Source organism: Homo sapiens, chromosome 9 (assembly GCF_000001405.40).
Source record: "Homo sapiens chromosome 9, GRCh38.p14 Primary Assembly".
NCBI lineage: Eukaryota > Metazoa > Chordata > Mammalia > Primates > Hominidae > Homo > Homo sapiens.
Genome location: NC_000009.12, coordinates 133,276,891 through 133,296,368, shown reverse-complemented (window position 1 = coordinate 133,296,368; position 19,478 = coordinate 133,276,891). Strand labels below are relative to the sequence as shown.

The 19,478-nt window shown below is 44.6% G+C and overlaps 5 annotated features.

Moving 5' to 3' along the window:
• Positions 17,362–17,931: an enhancer, noted in NCBI's record as "PflMI-XmnI fragment from -3950 to -3252 in the PXm/SN and PXm/SV constructs (contain four copies of the 43 bp repeat)". NCBI's record gives its function as "activates a minimal ABO gene promoter and an SV40 promoter in transfected KATO III gastric cancer cells {active_cell/tissue: KATO III}" and the evidence as "EXISTENCE:reporter gene assay evidence [ECO:0000049][PMID:9325321]".
• Positions 17,413–17,565: an enhancer, noted in NCBI's record as "-3899 to -3618 fragment in the -3899:-3616/SV construct (contains four copies of the 43 bp repeat); highly similar to the -3893 to -3616 fragment assayed for the B-Enhancer (four copies of repeat) from PMID:10873628". NCBI's record gives its function as "activates an SV40 promoter in transfected KATO III gastric cancer cells {active_cell/tissue: KATO III}" and the evidence as "EXISTENCE:reporter gene assay evidence [ECO:0000049][PMID:9325321, PMID:10873628]".
• Positions 17,469–17,491: an enhancer, noted in NCBI's record as "TR23 sequence in the 4x23/SV construct". NCBI's record gives its function as "activates an SV40 promoter when four copies are present in transfected KATO III gastric cancer cells {active_cell/tissue: KATO III}" and the evidence as "EXISTENCE:reporter gene assay evidence [ECO:0000049][PMID:9325321]".
• Positions 17,469–17,491: a protein binding site, noted in NCBI's record as "TR23 probe containing a CBF/NF-Y motif". NCBI's record gives its function as "binds CBF/NF-Y and is necessary for activity of the ABO upstream enhancer in KATO III gastric cancer cells {active_cell/tissue: KATO III}" and the evidence as "EXISTENCE:protein binding evidence [ECO:0000024][PMID:9325321]".
• Positions 17,469–17,511: a tandem repeat, noted in NCBI's record as "43 bp minisatellite repeat unit that is tandemly repeated in A2-, B1- and O1-type alleles (four copies); only one copy is present in the GRCh38 reference genome assembly". NCBI's record gives the evidence for it as "COORDINATES:sequence similarity evidence [ECO:0000044][PMID:9325321, PMID:10873628, PMID:12935472]".

Here is a 19,478-nt window from a genome sequence, read left to right as displayed (position 1 = left end):
TAAAATAATCCATTCTGCCAATCTCTGTCTTTTAATTGAAGTGTTTTTTGTTGTTGCTGTTTGTGTTTTGGTTTTTTTTGTTTGTTTGTTTTTGATACGGAGTCTTGCTCTGTCGCCCAGGCTGGAATGCGGTGGCGCGATCTCTGCTCACTGCAAGCTCCGTCTCTCGGGTTCAGGCCATTCTCCTGCCTCAGCCTCCCGAGTAGCTGGGACTACAGGCGCCCGCCACCACGCCTGGCTAATTTTTTATATTTTTTAGTAGAGACGGGGTTTCACCATGTTAGCCAGGATGGTCTCGATCTCCTGACCTCGTGATCCGCCCGCCTCAGCCTCCCAAAGTGCTGGGATTACAGGCATGAGCCACAGTGCCCGGCCTAATTGAAGTGTTTAATCAGCTTACATTTAAAGTAATTACTAATAAGGAAGGACTTCTGCCATTTTCTTATTTTTTTTTAATGCCTTATACCTGTTATTTTATTTTACTTTAAGTTCTGGGATACATGTGCAGAATGTGCAGGTTTGTTAAGTAGGTATGTATGTGCCATGGTGGTTTGCTGCACCTATCAATCCATCACCTACGTTTTAAGCCCCGCGTGCGTTAGGTATTTGGTTTTCCCTTCTATTCCCCCATTGCTGCATTCTTTGGTGTTTAAGTGGTCTTTTGGTAGTGTGCCATTTTGTTTCCCTTTTCATTTACTTTCTGAATATTTTATTTTCTTAGTAGTAACCACAGGGATTACAATTAACAAATTTATAACAACCTATTTTAAATTTATACCAACTTAGTTTCAATAGTGTACAAAAGTTCTACTATTGTACTTCTCTGTCCTTCCCTCTTTACATTGTTAGTGTCACATATTACATCTTTTTACATTCTGTGCCCAGCAACATAGATTTATGATTATTGTTTTAGTTATTTGTCTTTTTTTTTTTTTAAGATGGAGTCTTGCTCTGTCACTCAGGCTGGAGTGTGGTGGCACAATCTTGGCTCACTGTCACCTCCGATTCCCAGGTTCAAGTGATTCTCCTGCCTCAGCCTCCCAAGTAGCTGGGATTACAGGCACCTGCCACCACGCCTGGCTTATTTGTGTATTTTTAGTAGAGATGGGGTTTCAGCATGTTGGCCAGGCTGGTCTTGAACTCCTGACCTCAAGTAATCTGCCTGCCCCAGCCTGCCAAAGTGCTGGGATTATAGGCGTGAGCCACCACGCCTGGTGGCATTTGTCTTTTAAATCCTATTTTAAAAAGAGGATTCACAGCACAGTGGCTCACACTTGTAATCCCAGCACTTTGGGAGGCTGAGGCGGGTGGATCAGAAGGTCAGGAGATTGAGACCATCCTGGCCAACATGGTGAAACCCCGTCTCTATCAAAACAGAAAAAACTAGCCGGGCGTGCTGGCACACGCCTGTAGTCCCAGCTACTTGGGAAGCTGAGGCAGGGGAATCACTTGAACCCGGGAGGTGGAGGTTGCAGTGAGCCGAGATCACGCCACTGCACTCCAGCCTGGTGACAGAGCAAGACTCCATCTTAAAAAAAAAAAAAAAAAAAAGGATTTACAAACTAGAAGTACAACAATACTGGCTTTTATATTTATTTAACCTGCGTTCTTTATTTTCTTCTATGGCTTAGACCTACTGTTTGTTATTCTCCATTTCAGTCCAAAGGATTTCCTTTAACATTCCTTATAGGACAGATTGGCCAGCAATGAACTCAGTTGGCTTCTGTTTATTTATGAATGTCTTAATTTATCCTTCATTTATGAAGGCTAGCTTTTCTGAATGTAGGATTCTTGGTTGATAGTTAAAAAAAATAATTTCAGCACTTTAAATATGTTATCCCACTACCTTCTGAACCCCATTGTTTTTGATGGGAAATTGGCTGTTAATCTGATTGAGGATCACTTATACTGACAAGTAACAGCTCTCAGGCAGCTCTCAGGATTGTCTTTGACTTTGCCTTTCAAAAATTTGATTATATAATGTGTCTTGGTGGTGTTCTGTTTGAGTTGATCCTGAAATCCCCTTTGCAAAATTATGATTGAGACAGTGAAAAAGACTTAAACGAACTGACTCTATTTTGGTTTCAATCTTTAAGTTGTCCTTGTTCCTTCTTGGGCATAGGTTGAACTAACTTTGGGAGGAAATTAGTTTATAGTTTACAGTTTAAAACAAAGACAATAATAGCCCTTTCCCAAAAGAAACTTCTTTCTTGTTTGGGGACTAGACTGTGTTTGTAGGACTAACAAATTAGCCACAAGATTAGAAATTCTGGTTTAGGAGTCGTGTAGTTGGAGGCTACAAGATTCTGACCCTCCCTAAATTGTTCTTAAGATCAGTGCTTGAGATATTTTGCAGACCCTGTACCTTATGGATCAGTTGGTACCACCCAGATCGATAAAATTGCTTCATCTGATCTTGTGGCGCCCACCCAGGAACAGTCAGTTCAAGAGGACAGCTTCATCGTCCCATGATTTTATCTCTTGCCTAACCAATCAGCACTCCTGGCTCACTGGCTTCCCCTGACTCACCAAGTTGTCCTTAAAAACTCTGATCCTCAAATGCTCCAGGAGACTAATTTGATCAATAACAAAACTCCAGTCTCCCACACAGCCAGCTCTGTGTAAATTACTCTTTCTCTATTACAATTCCCCTGTCTTGATAAATCCACTCTGTCTAGGCAGTGGGCAAAGTGAACCCACTGGGTGGTTACAAATTTCGAGGCTCATCAGGATTGCCCTTGCAGCTACCTGCCCGTGGTTTGGTAGCCCCTCTCTAGCGATGGATCCAGAGGCTAGCCCAAGCATCTGCCTAGTTCTCTTGGACTAGGGGCTGACTTTGGTACTCTCTACTGGCGGGGTGCTGCCAACCCAATGTGCATGGATTTAATTGCAATGGAGAAATAGTCCTGGGGCGATATCCCTTAACTGTAGCACTATCACAGGGTGTCTGTCTGTAGCTCCATGGTGGGGTGTCTGTCTGCATCCCATTGTGGGGGTCTGGGTTGATGAGCATTCTAGGTACCGCCAATGACCCCTTCCTTCTCCCGACTGGTTCTGTAGCCCCCTGGTGGGGTGTCTGTTTGTCTGTAGCCCCATTGCGGGGTGTCTGTCTCAGTTTGGCTCCTAGGGGGTCTCTGTTGGCTCTCCCTAACTAGTAGGAAGAATCTTGGTTGGGGAGACTTCTTCTCAGTCCAGAAGATTTTGGGGAGATTTCTCAGACAGAGAATAGGAAGATAGTTTGGGAGGGATACTCTTGAGTTCTTTGTTGGGGATCTGATTTGGAAGGCCTTCTGTCTGTCGTGTCTTTGTGTGTGTTTGTATATGTGGAGGGGATCTCAGAAGAAATTGCTGATGGAAGTCCAGCAGGCCTAACTTGGAGAATCCTCCTTATTTGTCTGGTCACATTTGGTGAGCCCTGAAGAAAGCTCGATAGGCCTTTCTCGGGGTGACTATTGGCTCTTTGCCTTGCCCAGAGACCCCACTGTGAATTATCATTTGGAGGTCATCCCTCCCCAGCTGGAATGGATCAAAGACAACAGGGACCGTCTGGAGAAAGTTTGAGCTTTGCTAGGTTGATATTGGGTGCTGAATGGGGTGACTAGTGTCTGTTTTGTTTTGTGTATTTTGCTGGGATGGAAAATGTTCATTCAGTTCCCCAATGCAGCCCATTGGGCAACATCTTGCAAATTGATTATCTTTTGCCTATGGTTCCATAAAACAGAAAAGGGTGATTTTCTTTTGTAAAGTGGCTTGAATCCCACAGCTATGGCACAGCGAGCAGGGTCATCAGAAGGTGCTCCATTCTTCTGGAAGCTGCAGAGAAAGGGAACCCATAAATCTGGTATGCCAAAAAAGGATAAGAAATTCTTACCAGCCAAGTTTCTGGTCTCTCTTTCTCTGTCTGCATAAATGGTAAATGTCACTATATTTGTCTCCTCTGCAAGAGTTTGATTAATAGAAAAATGGATTTGTGAGACTGGTCTTAGGCTGTAGCAAATCTGGTGTACTTTGTACTAAAAGTTTGTCTTTCTATATTCTGTAATGGAGAAAGGAGTATCACAGGATACAATGTGGGTTTAGGATCCCTATAAGCCCATTTTTCAAGCCAACCCAGCAGACTGGTCAATTACAAACTATGCTACGGGTCCCTGAAAACAATACTCGGTAAGATCGGTCTTGTTTTGTGTCCTTAAGAGCTTAACCTTGTGGGGATACTTTATCTTGGTTTCTGCCATCCAGAGGACAGGAATTTTGAGGTTCATGTCACAGCCCTAAGAATTATCTTGAGCAGTTAAAAGCCTTCTCAAACTCAAAATTGGCCTCTCTAGGCTCCTTTTGGGAAAAGCAATAGAAACTGCTCAATGCTGTATAGTTCAGTAACTAAGGGTTTATCTTTTGACAGTGGTGGCCTGGGTTCAATTCTTGGCTTCTGGAATGATTCCTTTCTGGTTTGTTATGTGTGTAACTTTGCCATTTGAGGTTTTTATGGATAGCTTCTGATTTCTTCTCTTGAATTTTTCTTTCTCTGAACTACCTTAGGGAGATTCTAAATCTAGTAAAAAAGAAACTGCTTACCATGCCTTTGAAGCACCTGGGAGGTTGGTTACTTTTGGTAAAGTTCAAAAGCCAGAAATATTGACTGCATGGATAAAGTCAGGTAATCAGAGATGTGAAAGGATTTTTTTAAAGACCACTATGGTTAAAAGTCAACTTAATTAAAAGTGCATAAGCAAGCTGTAGGTATATTTAAAAGGTCTTTATGCTTTTCTTTTCATGGATCTTGTTTTGCTGGAAAAAGGTTTTTTTTTTCTTTTAGTCGACTGAATTATTTTTCTCCATTTTGTCTTACCACTATTAATGCACACATGAGAGGCCCTAAGATAACTTCTGGTAGCCTGAGATTCCTTGGGAAAAACAGAGGAGGTGCTATAGACCCCATTTTGGGAAAAAACCCTGTTTTCCTCATGAAACCCCAGGAATTAAAAGCAGATAGGTCCCCCTCAAAATCTAAGTCTGTTCTGTTTTGCATTGTGCTATCTAACGGTTTTGAGTCTTGGGGGTATCAAAAATTACTTTGAATTATAGGAGGGCTTGATATATAATAACTAGGTAAAAAATATACTTTAAGAATTGGCTAATGTCAGTTATGAAGACATACTTAGCTCTTTGCAAGCTTGGATCAGAGAAACATGCTCTTGGCCACCTGGAAGATACGGAAACATCCCCAACCCCCACTGAGAGATGAGACTCCCATGGGGGATTGGCTGGTTACAAAATGGGCTGATTGGCTTTGGTTTTCCTTGCGATGACATGTGTGGTGGAAGCACTGCACTGTCTTCTCCTGTAGTATTTCTTTCCTTTTTAGGGATCCAGGATACATATAGAATGGCACCCTAATTTGGGGGATCTGTCTCTCCTTTCCAGCTGTGCCTCCTTATTAGGCCCCAGAAACTGCATGGTTTCCTGGCCCTGTTCCTCCACCCTGAAGCCAGTAATCCAATTAAGAAACTGGTAAATAAAAAATCTTACAAGTGCTGAATCTTCTATCTGTCTGTATTCATATGTGTTGTGTGTGTAATATTTACACAAAAAGAACTCTGTTTAATTGGCTTAAAAATAGATGCCGAAATCAAATATTTTGTCAGAAAAAGAGAAACTTTAATGCCTTTTGTACACGTGACTTTAATAATCTTTTGGAAATAAAGACAGTTTTAGAAATTATTGATAAAAACAAAAATGTCTTCAAAATGTAGACATTTGGTCTAAATTAACGTCAGATATCAGATTTACTAAATGTTTTAAGGTTGTAAGCTGTTTCTTTGACTTTTGAAAATTGTTTAATTTGCCTACTTTGGAAAGAGTTAGGCCTTATCTTCACTTCTGTCTGATGTCCTAGACTCCACACCTAGTACATAATTAAAATCACTTATCAGGTTTTCACCAAAAATAAAAGCTGCTAAGAGGTAACATTGTAACATGTAATTGAGACCACTGGAGAAACAGTTCTACATGTAAGGTGTGTAAGGAAAGTAAAAGATTATAGGAAGGCATGGGAATATGGCTTTTATTAAAGGGAATGTTGCCAGACGCGGTGGCTCACGCTTGTAATCCCAGCACTTTGGGAGGCTGAGGCAGGTGGATCACAAGGTCAAGAGATCGAGACCATCCTGGCCAAATGGTGAAACCCTGTCTCTACTAAAAATACAAAAATTAGCTGGATGCGATGGCACATGCCTGTAGTCCCAGCTACTCAGGAGGCTAAGGCAGGAGAATTGCTTGAATCTGGGATATGGAAGTTGCAGTGAGCCAAGATTGCACCACTGCACTCCAGCCTGGTGACAGAGCAAGACTCCATATCAAAAACAAAACAAAACAAAAAAGGAATATAATTTTGTCTAGTTCAGAGGGTTTAAAGATTATCTTAACCTAAAAGAGTAATGGGACAAAACTGGAGGTTTAAACAAAGTGAAAAGGGCTTATGAAGGGTTGGTCTTGTAAAAAAAAGTTCTGTGGGTATGAGCAAGTTGGCTAATATTGGAAGGGGATTATTTAATTTTTTTTTCTGTAGGTTGAACATTAAAATAAAAGCACACGAATACAGGGCCAGAATCTGAGCCCAGGTGTCCAAATAACAGGGTTTTCTTAGAAAACTGATCGACTGTTTAATGAAAAATTATAAAGTGTTCAAAAAAGTTTATGAAAATCTTACCTTATGGTCAGACTAATTAAGACTGAATACATTTGTAAATTTTTATTGTAAAACCAGCCTTAGCATTAAAAATGCACTAATACAAACATTAAATTTGGTTTTCTCTTTTGAAAAAGATTTTTATGTAAAAGATTTTTTACATAAAAGATTATGTAAAAGATTTTTTATAGTAAAAGAAAATGAAAGGGTTTTGTTTGCCCCTTTGGGTAAACTACAGGGAAAAAGGGGAGGAGAGAGAAGATACGATTCAGTTGGCCTCATGCTATCTTCATTGGGTCTTCTTGTTTGGAAAGCTATGTCTCCTCTATCAGAGTAAAGGGTTTTTCTTTTTAAAATTTTGGAGTTATCATTTTGGTCAAATGAATGACTTATGGTGACCTGGGATTCTATTTTGTGATATCCACAAAATAAATCTTTGATATTTGACAAACTTTCCAAAATCAAATTATAAATTATAATTTGATTATAATTATGTCTCTTTCTAACCTAATCTTTTAGATATTAGGTCCTCTAATGTCCAAAAATGACATCTGGCTTACGTGGTATAAAAATCATACAGGAAGCATTGTCAAATATAAAATGTTGTTTGGCTTTCTTTGGGCTGTATTTGTATAAATATGTTATTAGTATGTGTTCCAAAATTATGAGAAACTCCTATAATTCTGATATGATTGAATGTATGCTGTTAATATAATAGTTATAATTTGTATGTAAAATTGTTGTATGCCACAGAAGTAACCAAATTCCTAGTCAACTGTGGCTTTAATAATGGCCGTCCTAAGATTTGTTGTCATCCACAGACAATTGTTGTCATCCACAGACAATTGTTGTCTTGTTTGATGCTCTTCAAAAGGTGGTTTATAATCAGCTCTAGAACTTTGACAGGTGCTCTTGAATTCAGGTTTCCAATAACTTTGGAGAATGTGACATTAGAATAGAGGAAATAACTTCCAGGACTCTCATGGGGAGCTGAAATGTTCATAAATATCAAACAGAACAGGAGTTAATGGAATTGATTGAACTAATAGAAAACTGAAGTAATCTTTTTTTTTTTTTCTTTTGAAATGGAGTTTCGCTCTTGTCTCCCAGGCTGGACTGTTGTGACATCATCTCGGCTCACTGCAACCTCTGCCTCTCGGGTTGAAGTGATTCTCCTGCCTCGGCCTCCCAAGTAGCTGGGATTACAGGTACTCACCACCATGCCCATCTAATGTTTGTATTTTTAGTAGAGATGGGGTTTCACCATGTTGGCCAGGCTGGTCTCGAACTCCTGGCCTAAGGTGATCCACCCACTTTGGCCTCCCAAAGTACTGGGATTACAGGTGTGAGCCATTGAGCCTAGCCCAGTAATCTTTTGTATTAACTTTTTTGCTTAAAACATTGCTGATCCTTTTTGTTTTCCAGAGCCAAGAAAACTTTTCTTTTAAGCTACTTACAGCTTTTAACAGTTGAATAAAATATACTCCTGTGAAAAAATTTGGAGTATATTTGTTTCTCCCTACCTGATTTTTCCAGAATTTGGAAACTATTTGTGAATATTCTCAACATATGGCAGTATAGTTATTTGCATAAGTACAATGATAATCTGTTTTCTTTTGTAACAGGACACAATGGGAGAAACTGGTTATTTTATCAAGGCTTTGACTAGAATGGCATGCTTTTTTTAAAGAATCAAAGTTGGCTGGGCGAGGTGGCTCATGCCTGTAATCCCAGCACTTTGGGAGGCTGAGGCAGGCGGATCACCTGAGGTCAGGAGTTTGAGGCCAGCCTGGCTAACATGGTGAGACCCCATCTCTACTAAAAAGAAAAAAAATTCCAAAAATTAGCTGGGCATGGTGACAGGCGCCTGTAATCCCAGCAACTCTGGAGGCTGAGGCAGGAGAATCACTTGAACCCGGGAGATAGAGGTCACAGTGAGCTGAGATCGTGCCATTGCACTCTAGCCTGGGGAACAAGAGTGAAACTCTGTCTCAGAAAAAAAAAAAAGGAGAATCAAAGTTGAGTTATTGAGCTAATAAAAGCCCCTTGGGAAATCTGGCCTTATACCTTGTCTACACAGTCCCTGTTCAAAGTTCCTGACCTGTGGTAAGTAAAGAATGTCACTTTCTAACAGTCTCAGGAGACCCAAGTTTTCTTGGGACCTCAGGAGGAGAGAAATTTACCCAACTCATAGGTATTTGAGTGTACAAACCCATGGCTGGGCTTAGCTTTAAAAAAGTCTTATTTGAGATTCCTTACAGAACAGAGTTCCATCAAAGCCAATTTTAAAGGCCTATGTGAAAAATAGTTATTCTTGGTGTGCTTTGTGCAAATAATCAGGCCAAGTATAATAAGACTAAAGTTTATTTTGTAAACAAATCATTCTATCATGATTTGTTTTTAATAAAAATGGAGACTGAAGAGAGAAAAATTATGCTTCAAAAGAAAAGCTATAGTATACCTGTTGTTCGCTGTTCTTGAGTTTTTCGGCAGTTTGGACAAAATCCTAAATTTTTGTGGGCTACAAGTCTCCAAACTAATGCTTTCAAATCTTTACTTTTAAAACTGGGAATTACACTCCTTACTAGCTCCCTTTTGCCTTCCGCCTTGAGTGGAAGCAGTCTGAGGCCTAACCAGAAGCCCTGCAGATGGGGGTGCCATGCTTCTCGTACAGCTTGCAGAACTGTGAACCAAACATCTTTTGTTTATAAATTACTAAGTCTCAAGCATTCTGTGAAGGCAACACAATAGACTGGGACAGTATCAGAACTGGTCCTAGTGAGGTCCTTGTGAGACCTCTATAGCATGTGCTTCCTTTTAAGTTAGATTTAGTCTGCCATGACTGTGAGAATATCTGAACTACATTGATGAGCTTGGAATTACAATATTATATAAATTGCATTGTCTTGAAAACTAATGGTATTTCCTGAAATGACTCATCCCTGAACTCGATGGAGAGCTTTATTTTTTTCTTGCCACACTCTGTAACTTTGCAGTATAAGAAGTTAACCTAGGCTTGGCTAGTCGCCCACCCCTGTAATCCCAGCACTTTGGGAAGCTGAGGTGGGAAGACTGCTTGAGCCCAGGAGTTCAAGAGCAGCCTGGGCAACATGGTGAAACCCCATCCCTACAAAAGAATGTAAAAGTCATCCAGGCATGGTGGTGCACGCCTGTGGTCCCAGCTACTGCAGAGGCTGATATGGGAGGATCACTTGAACCCAGGCAATTGAGACTGCAGTGAGCCAAGATCATGCCACTGCACTCCATCTTGGGTGACAGGTTGAGACCCTGTCTCAAAAAAAAAGAAAAGAAGAAGAAGAAGAAAGAAGAAGTAGTTACCTATGCTCGTAATCACATAGGGCACTAGGGCAGGTGCCCAGGCACTGCAGGGTAAGGCCTAACGGAATTATGGCTCCGGGCTGGGTGCGGTGGCTCACGCCTGTAATCCCAGCACTTTGGGAGGCCAAGGTGGGTGGATCACCTGAGGTCAGGCATTTGAGACCAGCCTGGCCAACATGGTGAAACCCCGTCTCTACTAAAAATACAAAAAATTAGCTGGGTGTGGTGGTGCACACCTGTAATCCCAGCTACTACAGAGGCTGAGGCAGGAGAATTGCTTGAACCTGGGAGGCAGAGGTTGCAGTGAGCCAAGATTGCACCACTTCACTCCAGTCTGGGTGACAGAGTGAGAATCTGTCTCCAAAAAAAAAAAAGGAATTATGGCTCCAGGAGGATAAGTGTAACCCACCTTCCCTGTAAGGACAAAGGAAAGAGGGGCATTTGGCTGGAGCTATTATGAGCCCATCACTGGCCAGTGCCCAATTCTGGTACTTGCCACAACAAGGTGATCTGGGGACCAGGTAACCATCCCTGGGTAACCCTGGTGTCCTCTCTGAAGGCTGCTGGGGAAGGAGCATGAAGCCTGCTGCTACCTGGTCCTGCTCCTTGCTGTGTCCCAGATTCCACAGGGAAGGAGAAGGGGAATAGCTCTTAGGTCCCTATGGCAGGCTGGGATTTATGACTTATTAGACTTCACCTTACTTAGTGACACTGTTTAGGACTTTCGGACCACATCACTGATCTGGGAGAAGGAATGGCCAGCATTGCTATCCCCATTTTGCAGATGAGGAAATTGAAAGACTGAGGTGATATTCCTGGCCACAGGCCACATCATTCGACGGGGCAGGGCTGAGACACAGGCTCCCAGCCAGCACTGTCCTCTGCTCCCTGGCGATTTACAGGCATTTACAGGTGCCAGGCTCACTGCCCAGAGGTGTCAATATAAACATGATCCTTATCTGGGCTCCACACAACTCTCCTATCTGGCCTCCTCCTCTACCCCCTGAGCCTTTCTTTTTCTTTTTTCCTTTCTTTCTTTCTTTTATTTTTTTTTTGAGACGGATTCTGACTCTGTCGCCCAGGCTGGAGTGCAGTGGCGTGATCTCGGCTCACTGCAAGCTCCGCCTCCCAGGCTCACGCCATTCTCCTGCCTCTGCCTCCCCAGTAGCTGGGACTACAGGCGCCCGCCACCAGGCCTGGCTAATTTTTTGTATTTTTAGGAGAGACGGGGCTTCACCATGTTAGCCAGGATGGCCTCGATCTCCTGACCTCGTGATCCGCCCGCCTCAGCCTCCCAGAGTGCTTGGATTATGGGCTGAGCCACCGTGCCTGGCCCCACTGAGGGGCGGTAAGCCCGAGAGACTGAGATTCAACCACTTGCCTACCAAGTTCTAGGCAGCATACAAGCCACATCTTCACTCTTGTGATAACATGACAGATGTTTCCACTTCAGCCTCTGAATGATCATGGGCCAAGTCTCCACTTCAGCCTCTGATTGGTAGCAGGCCAATCCTTCATAAGGTTTAGCCAGTTGGAGGAGGCCAGTTTTATCTCATGGCTGCTGAAACAACCTGCAGGGACACTAAGACCAGCTTCACCCACCACCATCACTCACCAGTCAGAGCTTCACCCGCCATCATCCACCAGAGCTTTACCTGCTGCTGTCACTCACCAGTCAGAGCTTTAACCACTGTCATGATTCACCTATCAGAGCTTCACCCACCACATCGCTCACCAATCAGAGCTTTACCTGCCATCGTCGCTCACCAATCAGAGCTTTACCCGCCATCATCACTTACCAGTCAGAGCTTCACCCACTGCTATCACTCACCAGTCAGAGCTTCACCCGCTGCCATCACTCAACAATCAGAGCTTCACCCCGCTGCCATCACTCACCAATCAGAGCTTCACCCACCGCCATCACTCACCAGTCAGAGCTTCACCTGCTGAAGGGGTGGCCAGCTGCTCCACAACCTGTGGGTGTTTCTCGTCAGGTGGGATGAGAGACTGAGAAAAGAAATAAGACACAGAGTCAAAGTATAGAGAAAGAAAAGTGGGCCCAGGGGATTGGTGCTCAGCATATGGAAGACCCGCACTGGCACTGGTCTCTGAGTTTCCTCAGTATTTATTGGTCACTATCTCTACCATCTCGGACAGGGTGATGTGGCAGGACTATAGAGTAATGGTGGGGAGAGGGTCAGCAGGAAAACATATGAGCAAAGATCTCTGTGTCGTAAATAGGTTTAAGGAAAGGTGCTGTGCCTGGATGTGCACGTAGGCCAGATTTATGCTTGACTTTACACAAACATCTGAGTGCATTAAGGAGCAGTATTGCCGCCAGCATGTCTCACCTCCAGCCATAGGGAGGTTTTCTGCTATCTCAGTATTTAGAGCGTATGATCGGGTTTTACACCAAGACATTCCATTCCCAGGGACGAGCAGGAGACAGATGCCTTCCTCTTATCTCAACTGCAAAGAGGCCTTCCTCTTTTACTAATCCTCCTCAGCACAGACCCTTTATGGGTGTCGGGCTGGGGGACGATCAGGTCTTTCCCTTCCCTCGAGGCCGTATCTCAGGCTGTCACATGGGGAGAAACCTTGGACAATACCTGGCTTTCCTAGGCAGAGGTCCCTGCGGCCTGGCCTTCTGCAATGTATTGTGTCTCTGGGTACTCGAGATTAGAGAATGGTGATGACTTTTACCAAGCACGCTGCCTTCAAGCACTTTTTTAACAAAGCACATCCTGCACAGCCCTAAATCCATTAAACCTTGAGTCAACACAGCACATGTCTCTGTGAGCACAGGGTTGGGGCTAGGGTTACAGATTAACAGCATCTCAAGGCAGAAGAATATCTCTTAGTACAGAACAAAATGGAGTCTCTTATGTCTACTTCTTTCTACATAGACACAGTAACCGTCTGATCGCTCTTTCTTTCCCCCACAACCCGCCGCCATCACTCATCTGGTAGAGCTTTGCTCACCACCATCACTCACCAATCAGAGCTTCACCCGCCACCATCACTCACTAGTCACAGCTTCATCTGCCACCATCACTCATCTAAGCTTTACCCACTGCAGTCATTCACCAATCAGTGTTTGCCAACTCCCTAGAACCTTACTAGTGCCAATGAAGTTTCTGGAAAAACAGTATGTGACATTTTTCATTTTTATAAAACCTCTAACAACTGAGCACGATGGCTGACAGGCGTGAGGTGGGAAGATCACTTAAGGCCAGGAGTTCAAGACCAGCCTGGACAACATAGTGAGACCCCCCTGTCTCTACTAAAAATCAGAAAAATTAGTCAGGCATGGTGGCATGTGCCTTGTAATCCCAGCAACTTGGAAGGCTGAGGTAGGAGAATTGCTTGAGCCCAGGAGTTGGAGGCTGCAGCGAGCTATGATTGCACCACTGCAGTGCAGACTGGGCAATAGACCAGACCCTGTCTCAAAAAAAGCAAAACAAAACAAAAACAATTTTTTTAAAAAATAGAAAAATATTCTCAAAGTCCAGCAGGAGGCAATTGGTTAAATAGATTATGCTCCACTTCTTGCTAAAATAAGACACATTTTGGTGACAGATAGCAGCTGACAGATGGCAGCCAATCGGAGGCCTCTAAAGGGCAGCAAGGGGTGTTGCCAGGTTCCTTTAGCTTAATAAAAACCCTAATTGAGGAAGCTCTTGAGCCGTTTGCTCCAGCCACTCCCACCCTGTGAATTGTTTTCAATAAAGCTGTGCTTTCCGGGTCTTTTGTTGCTTTGTCTTTCGTTTGTTCTTTCTTTGTTCTTTCTTACTTTGTGCATTTTGTTCAGTTCTTTGTTCAACACACCAAGAACCTTGATGACTCTATCTCTGCTTGGGTCTAATCAGTTATCAAACTAGAGTCAGACTGGATCTAAACGAAACCGCCTTCCAAACAGGGGGTCACCAATTTATAGACAGCTCCTCCCGGGTCATTGAAGGAAAAAGGCACAACGGGTACTCCTTAGTTGTTGGGGAGACCTCACAGAGGTAGAGTCAGGAAGACTGCCAAATGCCTGGTCTGCCCAAACATGCGAACTCTTTGCATTAAACCAAGCCTTAAAATCCCTGCAGAATCAGGAAGGAACTATTTACACCGACTCCAAGTATGCCTTTGGAGTAGTCCTTACCTTTGAAAAATCTGGACTCAACAAGACCTCGTAAATAGTAAGGGCCAAGATCTGGTCCACAAGGAATTAATTATGCAAGCACTAGAAAATCTTCAGCTGCTGAGCCGGGCATGGTGGCTTGCACCTGTAATCCCAGCACTTTGGGAGGCCGAGGCGGGCAGATCACCTGAGGTCCGGAGTTCAAGACCAGCCTGGCCAACATGGTGAAACCCCATCTCTACAAAAATACAAAAATTAGCCGGGTGTTGTGTTGGGCGCCTGTAATCCCATCTACTTGGGAGGCTGAGGCTGGAGAATTGCTTGAACCTGGGAGGCGGAGGTTGCAGTGAGCCGAGATCGTGCCACTGCACTCCAGCCTGGGCAACAGAGTGAGACTTCGTCTCAATAAATGAATGAATGAAAATCTTCAGCTGCCAGAAGAAATTGCAATTGTCCATGTCCTAGGCCCCCAAACACCCATCTTTTGAAAGCTGGGGAAACAACTTCGCAGATCAGATAGCTAAACAAGCTGTCTCTTCCCAAGAGGCACCCATTTTCCATCTCACCCCTTGTCTTCCCCCTCCAGCTGTGATCCCCACCTTCTCCCGTGCAGACCAAGAGAAACTAAAGAACATAGGAGCTAACGAGAGCCCAGAGGGAAAGTGGGTAATACCAGATGGAAGGGAAATGCTGTCTAAACCCCTCATGAGAGAAATATTGTCACAGCTTCATCAGGGAACTCACTGGGTTCCTCAAGCTATGTGTGATGCAGCCCTCAGAGAGTCTGTGGGTGTGTAGGGATATATACCCTTGCTAGGCAAGTGACAGATGGTTGCATAGTGTGCAGAAAAGCTAATAAGCAAACCCTTAAAGAAGCAACCTCCTGGGGGACAAAACCCAGGGTTGAGGCCATTCCAAAGTGCCCAAGTTGGCTACACTGAAATGCCCCCAGTAGGCCTCCTCAAGTATTTACTAGTAATAGTAGACCATCTCACCCACTGGGTAGAAGCCTCCCCTTCCCAAGCGCAACAGCCAGTAACGTAGTCAAAGCCCTGTTGGAACATATCATGCCCAGGTTTGGACTAATAGAGAACATTGATTCAGACAATGGGACCCACTTCACTGCACACATCATTAAGGGGCTAACCTAAGCACTAGGAATAAGATGGGAATATCATATTCCCTGATCCACCCTCATCAGGGAAGGTAGAAAGAATGAATCAAACTCTAAAAAGTCACCTAACCAAACTAATCTTGGAAACGCGGTTACCATGGACAAAATGCCTTCCCATTGCCTTACTAAGAATCCAAACTGCCCCTCGAAAAGATCTCGGCCTGTCCCCTTACGAAATGCTCTATGGACTGCCTTATCTAAATTCCACTACTGACCTTCCTACATTTGAAACAAAAGATCAGTTTCTAAAAAAATGTATATTTTGTCTGTCTTCCACCCTTTCCTCCCTCAGGACTCAAGGCCTTCTAGGGCAAACTCCACCCTAGTTCGAATTCCCAGTTCACTAACACCAGCCCAGAGATCATGTCCTTATCAAAAGACGGAAAGAGGGAAAGTTCAAACCAACCTGGGAAGGACCTTATCTAATACTCCTAACCACTGAGATAGCAATCCAAAGGCCGAAAAAGGAGGGACCCACCCCTTGCAAAGTCATGGACTGTCACTCCAGGACCAACACCCTCCAAACCAATGTTCAAAAGGGTTTAGTCTGTCTTTTTTTTTAATTCCTTTAGTTACCAAAGAACATCTTATCATCAATGTAACCCGATCACCCTGCCCTCAAACGATCACATTCAATGCTTGCCTTGTCATGCCCTGTGGAGACCTTTAGAGTCAAAAACAGCTAGCTTCTTCAGAAAAGTACCTCTGCCCCTCCACCCGCTTCAGACAAATCAGAAACCCTTGTGATGGACAACCACGAGCCTTCCAGGGGTTATGTTATAATTGGGGAGATGTTATCTAGACCACCCAGTATCAGGGCTGGACCTCCTCAGAGGGTTGCACCGCCCTAAAACCTTACATCCACCTTACCAAAGGAGTCACACCCTCAAATTGCCAAAACCACCAGTTTTCCCAAAAGTCAGAAGCCCTACGGGACAGCCCCCAAGGGCCATTCGACTTCCAGCTCTTGATGCCAATTTTACCTCATGTCTCTCATGGCAAGGGGAAAATCTGACGTTCCTCGGAAACCTGATGGGATGTACTGGGCCTAAACCTTTCCAAGAGCTAACCAGTCAGTCAGCCCTAATCCATCCCCAAGCAGATGTACAGTGGTATTGTGGGGGACCAATATTGAGTACTCTGCCAAACAATTGGAGCAGCATTTGCACTCCGATCCAATTGGCCATCCCTTTCACCTTGGCATTTCAACAACCAGACAGGAAGCAGGTAACCCAAAGGAAAAGAGAAACCCCTCACGGGTCCTTTGACCTCTCATATTTACATAGACAGTATCGGGGTTGCGCTGGGGGGTACAAAATGAATTCAAAGCTCGAAACCAAATAGCCACCAGGTTTGAGTCTGTATTATTCTGGTGGTCCACTATAAACAAAAATGTAGACTGGATACATTATATATACTATAATCAACAGTGATTCATCAATTACACCAGAGATGCCATAAAAAGAATAGCTCAACAATTAGGCCCTACCAGCCAGATGGCCTGGGAAAACAGGATAGCCCTTGACATGATATTGGCCAAAAAAAGGCGGAGTCTGTGTCATGATTGGGGTCCAATGTTGCACTTTTATCCCCAATAACACAGCCCTGGACAGGACAATCACAAAAGCCTTACAAGCCTTACCACCCTAGCAAATGAATTAGCCGAGAACTCTGGAATAGATGACCCCTTTGCAGGTGTCATGGAGAAATGGTTTGGAAAATGGAAGGGACTCATGACCTAAATATTTACCTCCCTTGCAACAGTTACAGGTGTACTCATCCTTGTGGGCTGCTGTATCATACCTTGTATTCGTGGGTTAACCCAAAGGCTCATAGAAGCAGCTCTCACAAAAACCTCCCCCACCTCTCCCCATCCATAGTCAGATAAGCTCTTGCTCCTAGATGATAAAGAAGAACAACAAAGCCAACTCCTGTTAAATAAATTTGAAGGGGAAGAACTATAAAACAGAAGAGGGGAAATTGTTGGGACAACTAAGTTCCTCTTCAAAGATTCAACTTCCTGGCCATAACTTGGAAACAAATCCTACCCCTACAACCTTTTCAAAAATCACACCTTTACCTTATTTGGGAAGGTTTAAGCATTAGCCTGTCGGGGTCAGCTTAGATTATGCGGCCCAACCCCAGCCAATAGGGGAAGGACACAGAAACAGAAACTGCATTAGGGATAAAAACCCCTTCCCTCCTTTGTTCAGTGTGCTCTTGGGATTGTAACAGGCACAGGCAGCACCCTTCTACAGAAGTAAAAGTGACTTGCTGAGAAATTTTCTAAGTGCGGGTTTCTTTTCGCTACACCGAGCACTTGTTTCCAACACATGCAAACCAGAATGGAGGTCTCCCTGGACCTGGGTTTGGGCCACAAGCTTGCAAGACCTTGGGCAAGACTGTTCCCTCTTCTGAACCAAGTCCTTCCCTGGCCCAGCCGCTTGTGAGTAACACATCAGTTTCATGCTTACACCTCCTGGTCTTGTGAGTAACACATCGGTTTCATGCTTACACCTCCTGGTCTGACCGGGCTCTCCTTTGCAGAGCCTTTTATTCCTTCCCTTCCTCTGAACACTGGCTGGCTGCTTTCAGGGAAGAAGTTCAAGGCAGTGGCAGGGAGCTCCTTGCACATCGCCATGACAAATGTTTTATGGAAACAGTGAGCTGATGGGACGAGGGGTCGGGGCTAGAAAGTCAGCCAAAAGGTGTGAGAACCCGGACTAGCCCCCAGCCCTGAACATGGCAGGCCACTGTGCCATGGTAGGGGAGTGAAAGTTTCCCTCTGCTCCTCTTAGGGTTCCAGCTGGGGCTCCTTACAAAAGAGAAAAACAGTTCATTAATGCATGTAGTGCACCTCACTGAAGAAGCTTCAACAAAAAGCAACTCAGAACAGTGACTTAGAACTGGGTTATGGAGCAACTTCAACAAAGAATAATCAACGTGTGGGGAAATGACAGGACCCAGGAGAGCGGTTTTAGGCTTCCAAGTTTGGGAAACCGGCAAGGTGAGTATTGGGAGGAAACTAAGGCGGAAGTTTCATTCACAGAGCCCTAGGGTGCCTTCTTTCCTCTGGCTGATGCGTCTCTCTCCTATAATTTCCATCCTGCCTCAGACAGCAGAGGGACAGGGCAGAGAGAGATTTCCCTGCTTCTGCTGCATCTTAGTTGCCTTCAACTCAAGATAATTTCTGAGGCTCATTTTGGAGTGACATATTCTGGTGTCCTTCACGGTACAGGGCACAGCCTCAGAGGACCAGATCCACAGCTGATCACTGAGCTCTTCCATGTGCCAGGCCCGTCCAGGGAGAACACTCAGCCCCACAAACAGGGCAGGTGGCACCAGGATGCTGGGCGGCAGCCTAACCCTCAGCTCATGGGTGGGTGGAGTGGAGAGCACCCTCCCCATGTGGGGCTCCCTGGTCGTGGACCTGGAGACCACCAAGGCTCTGCAGTCTCAGAAGTGGCCTGTTGGAATGGGGTCTGCAGGCAGGGAAGCCTTGGGCCAGAGTCCCTCAGGGGCAGGAACACAGCCCCCAGGCTTGTCCCACTTGTCCCTCTGAATAGTTAAGGGCTGCCCACAGGGAACTTCCCTCCCTCCCTCCCTTCCTCCCTTCCTTCCTGCCTCCCTCCCTCCCTTCTTTCCCCTTTTCTTCTTTCATCCTCCCCTTTCTTCCTTCCTTACTGTGGTAAAATACACATAACATGAAATTTACCATCTCAACTATTTAAACACGCACAGTTCCATGGTGTTGAGTTCACTCACATCGTTGTACAGCCATCACCAGCATCCATCTACAACACTCTTTTCATCTTCCCAGACTGAAACTCAACACCGTTCACAGCTCCCCATTCCCGCCTTCCCCAGGCGCCCACCATTCTCCTCTCTATTTCTACGAATTTGATGACTCCAGTCCCTCAGATATGTGGAATTGTGGCTGGGCGCGGTGGTTCACATCTGTAATCCCAGCACTTTCAGAGGCCAAGGCAGGCAAATCACCTTAGGTCAGGAGTTCTAGAACAGCCTGGCCAACATGGTGAAACCCAGTCTCTACTAAAAATACAAAAATAAGCCGGGCATGGTGGCACACATCTGTGGTGCCAGCTACTCAGGAGGCTGAGGCGGGAGAATCGCTTGAACCTGGGAGG